Here is a 5,103-nt window from a genome sequence, read left to right on the forward strand (position 1 = left end):
TGATTGCGTTTCCTAAGGCCTCTGCAGCCATGCTTCCTGTATAGCTTTTGGAACCATAAGGCAATTAAACCTCTTTTCTTCATAAATTACTCAGTCTCATGTACGTCTTTATAGCAGTGTGAGAATAATACAGAAAATTGGTACCAGGAAGAGGGGCATTGCTATATAGACACCTGAAAATGTGGAAGGGAATTTGGAGCTCGGTAACATGCAGAGGTTGGAACAGTTCTAACAGGGCTAAGAAGAAAAGAGAAAGATGAGGAAAAGTTTGGAATTTCCTGGAGACTTGTTAAATGGTTGTGACCAAAATGCTGATAGTGATATGGACACTGAATTCCAGGCTGAGGTAGTCTCAGATGAAGATGAGGAACTTATTGGAAGCTGGAGTAAAGGTAAGACTTGCTATGCTTTAGCAAAGAGACAGTGGCATGGTGCCCCTGCTCTAGAGATCTATAACTTTGAACTTGAGAGAGACCATTTATGATATCTAGCCAAAAAAAAAAAAATTCTTAGCAATAAAGCATTCAAGAAGTAGCCCCTTTGCTTCTAAATGCCTATGCTCATTTTCATAAACAAAGAAATGAACTGAAACTAGAACTTATATTTTAAAGGGAGGTAGAACATAACAGTTTGGAAAATTTGCAGCCTGACCATGTGGAAGAAAAGAAAATCCCATTCTCTGGAGAAGAATTCAAGGCTGTAGAAATTTGCATAAGTAAAGAAGAATGGAATGTTAATAGCCAAGACAATGAGGAAAATGCCTCCTGGGCATTACAGAGACCTTTGCAGCAGCCCCTTCCATCACAGGCCTTGAGGTCTAGGAGGGAAAACTAGTTTGGGCGGCCAGGCCCAGGGCTTCACTGCTCTGTGCAGCCTTGGGACATGGCACCCTGCATCCCAGGTGCTCAAGCTCCAACTGCGGCTAAAAGAGGCCAAGATATGTCTCAGTCCACTGTTCCAGAGGGTGCAAGCCATCAGAAACCTTAGTAGCTTCCACATGGCTTTGAGCCTGCAGGTGCACAGAGTGCAATAGTTGAGGCTTGGGAGAATCTGTCTAGATTTCAGAAGATGTATGTAAATGCTTGGTGGTCCAGATTGAAGTCTGCCACAGTTGTCCCTCATGGACAATTTCTATTAGGTCAGTGGAGATGGGAAATGTGGGGTTGGAGCCCACACACAGAGTCCCTATAGGGCTCCTGTCTAGTGAAGCTATGAGAAGAGGGCCACCATCCTTCAGACCCCAGGATGGTAGATCCAGAGACAGCTTTTACCATGTTCGAGGAAAAGCTGCAGGCACACAATGCCAGGCCATGTAGGTAGCTGTAGGGGCTGTATGCTGCAGAGCCACAGAGGCAGAGTAGCCCAAGGCCTTGGGAGCTACCCCTTGCATCAGTGTGTCTTGGATGTGAGACAGGGAGTCCAAGTATTTTATTTTGGAGCTTTAAGATTTAATGGCTGCCCTGCTGGGTTTTGGACTTGCATGAGGCCTGTAGTCCGTTTGTTTTGCCTGGTTTCTCCCTTTTGGAATGGGTCTATTTACCCAATGTCTCTATCTTCATTGTATCTAAGAAGTAACTAACTTGTTTTCAATTTCACAGGCTCATAGAAGGAGGGTCTTTCTTTGTCTCAGATGAGACTTTGGGCTTGGACTTTTGAATTAATGCTTGAATGAGTTAACACTTTGGGGGACTGTTGGTAAGGCATGATTGTCCTTTGAAATGTGAGAAGATACGAGATTCTGGAGGGTCCAGGTACAGAATAATATGGTTTGGCTCTGTGTCCCCACCCAAACTCATGTTGAATTGTAATTCCCAGTGTTGGAGGAGGGATGTGGTAGGAGGTGATTGAACCATGTGGGCAGACTCCACTTTTTTCTGTTCTCATGATAGAGTTCTCATGAGATTTGTTTGTTTGAAAGTGTGTAGCACCTCCCCCTTAACTCTCTGTCTTCTCCTCCTCTGTCAACTGATCATAGGGAACTCCATGTAAATTAAACCTCTCTTCTTTATAAATTACCCAGTCTCAGATATGTCTTTATGGGAGTTTGGGAATGAACTAATACTTTTCTCGACTTCAAACTATACTACCAGGTTGTGTTTACCAAAACTGCATGGTACTATTATAAAAATAGGCACATAGACCAATGGAACAGAATAGAGAACTCAGACATAAAGCCAAATACTTACCACTAACTGATCTTTGACAAAACAACAAAAATGTAAAATGGAGAAAGGACAAATGATGCTGAGATAATTGGCAAGCCACATGTAGAAGAATGGAACTAGATCCTCATCTCTCACTTATAAAAAATCAACTCAAGATTGATCAAAGACTTAAATCTAAGACCTGAAATCAAAAAACCTCCAGAAGATAACACTGGAAAAACTTTTATAGACATTGGCTTAGGCAAAGAGTTCATAACCAAGAACCCAAAAGCAAAGCCAACAAAAACAAAAATAAATAGAAGGTACCTAATTAAACTAAAAAACTTCTGCATATTGAAAGAAATAATCAGCAGAGTAAACACACCACCCACAGAGTGGGAAAAAATATTTGCAAGCTACGCATCTGACATAGGATTAATACACAGAATCTACAAGGAATTCAAATCAGCCATAAGAAAAAAAAAAATAATAATCCCTTCAAAAAGTGGGCTAAGGACATGAATAGACAATTCTCAAAAGAAGATATACAAATGACCAACAAACATATGAAAAAATGATCAACATTGCTAATTATGAGGGAAGTGCAAATTAAAACCACAATGAGATACCACCTTACTTCTGTAAGAATGGCCATAATTGAAATCCAAAAATAATAAATGTTGGCATGGATCTGGTGAAAAGGGAGAACTTCTATACTGCTGACGGGAATGTAAACTAGTACAACCACTATAAAAAACAGTATGGAGATTCCTAAAAAAAAAAACAAAAAGTAGAACTACTATTTGATCTAGCCACTCCACTACTGGGTATCTACCCAGAGGAAAATAAGTCATTATATGAAAAAGACATTTGCACATGTTTATATGAGCACAATTCACAATTGCAAAAATATGGAACCAACCTAAATGTCTGTCAGATAAGAAGTGAATAAAGAAAATGTTATACACACACACACACAGACACACCATGGAATACTACTTAGCCATAAAAGGGAACAAAATAAAGGGATTTGCCGCAACCTGGGTGGAGTTTCAGACCTTTATTCTAAGTGAAGCAACCCAGGAATGAAAAACCCAATATTGTATGTTCTCACTTATAAATCTGACCTAAGCTATGAGGATGTAAAAGCTTAATGATATAATGGGCATTCAGGACTCAGGGGAAAGGGTAGGGGTGGGTTGAGGGATAAAAGAATACACATTGAGTACAGTTTACACTGCTAGTATGAAGGGTGCACCAAAATCGCAGAAAAAAACACTAAAGAATTTATCCATGCAACCAAAAACCACCTGTTCCCCAAAAACTAATGAAATAAAATAAAATAAAAATTATGCCAGTATTTTTCAATAGATGCATCCATTATTTCTGTTGCATATAAATGTTCATTATGAATTCTTCTCATTTTTCAATACTTACAAAATCTCAATTGAATTATTTTATTTTATTATATTATTATTATTATTTCTTTTTGAGGCAGGGTCTCACTCTGTCATCCAGGCTGGAGAGCAGTGGTGTGATCTTGGCTCACTGCAACCTCTGCCTTCCATGTTTAGGTAATCTCCTGCCTCAGCCTCCCAAGTAGCTGGAATTTATAAATTACCCAGTCTCAGGTATGTCTTTTTGGGAGTGTGGGAGTGAATTAATACTTTTCTTGACTTTAAACTATACTACCAGGTTGTGTTTACTAAAACTGCATGGTACTATTATAAAAACAGGCACATAGACCAATGGAACAGAACAGCAAACTCAGACATAAAGCCAAATACTTACCACTAACTGATCTTTGACAAAACAAACAAAAACTTAAAACAGAGAAAGGCACAAACCACCATGCCCAGCTAATTTCTGTGTTTTTAGTAGTAAAGGGGTTTCTTAGTGTTTGCCAGGCTGCTCTCAAACTCCTGAACTCAAGAGATCTGCCCACCTTGGCCTTCCAAAGTGCTGGAATTACAAGCATGAGCCACTGTGCCACTCCTAAATTTAATTTTGATTGAAATGAGGAGTTCTTCTTCTTTTATATAGCAAATACTATAATTTCTCAAGCTTACTTTTTCTAAAATCTGGAGAACCTGATTTATGAATATCTAGTCATCTTCTACTTTAGAACCAAATTAGCTGTGGAAAATGTCTTTTGGTAGTTAGTTTCTATAGAACTCCAAAACTTCTTTCACACTAATGTGTATATGCATATTTCAATTTGATTTAATCTTTATACAAGATTTCAAAAATTTATTGTGTGGGATATAATCATTGTATACATTGTTTTACGTAAATTGTCAACAATTATACAAATAGAAGTTATAACCTTAATTTATTTGAAAGAAGATGATTTCCATATTTCTATTCCTATCAGTTGATTAACTCTGGAATTAATATCAACTATTCTCTCCACATTTCCAAGTCAGCATGCTATAGTTCTCAGTATTTATTTATGTATGAATGGAAGACTCTGCACTAAATAACATTTGTTTGTCTCAACCTTACTTCAGTTTTCAGGTCCAATTAACTAATAATTTTTGTAGTATCATTAACCAATTTATTTCACCAAAACTATTTAGTACAATATAAGTGTAAATAATATTTCTAATGCATTCCTTTCATTAAATCCTTTTGAAGCAATTCAACTCATCCATGTTGACTTTTGTCGAAACTTTTCTACACAGGCTTTCTGCATGCTCTCTAAAAACACATCCCTCTATATCTGCTCATCCTTTTAAGTAAACTCATCTTAAACTTCAAGGTTCAAGTTAACATTCACATCTTCCGTTAATCAGGTCTTTCATGAGCATGGCGGTCATTTGTATATATTAGAAGAACATATAATCATATTTGCATATTTGTATTCCAATCTTTCTTTAATTATACCCATTTTTATTTTGCCCTTCTGCATTTTTCCTGGTATAATTTTTGTCCACAGACCTAAATCTTGCTCATCTTT

At 37.5% G+C, this 5,103-nt stretch overlaps 1 annotated feature.

The window, feature by feature from the left end:
• Positions 454 to 1,023: an enhancer, noted in NCBI's record as "OCT4-NANOG hESC enhancer chr4:136946568-136947137 (GRCh37/hg19 assembly coordinates)". NCBI's record gives its function as "activates a minimal SCP1, AML or CMV promoter by ChIP-STARR-seq in naive H9 embryonic stem cells {active_cell/tissue: H9 hESC(naive)}" and the evidence as "EXISTENCE:reporter gene assay evidence [ECO:0000049][PMID:30033119]".

This window comes from Homo sapiens, chromosome 4 (assembly GCF_000001405.40).
Source record: "Homo sapiens chromosome 4, GRCh38.p14 Primary Assembly".
NCBI lineage: Eukaryota > Metazoa > Chordata > Mammalia > Primates > Hominidae > Homo > Homo sapiens.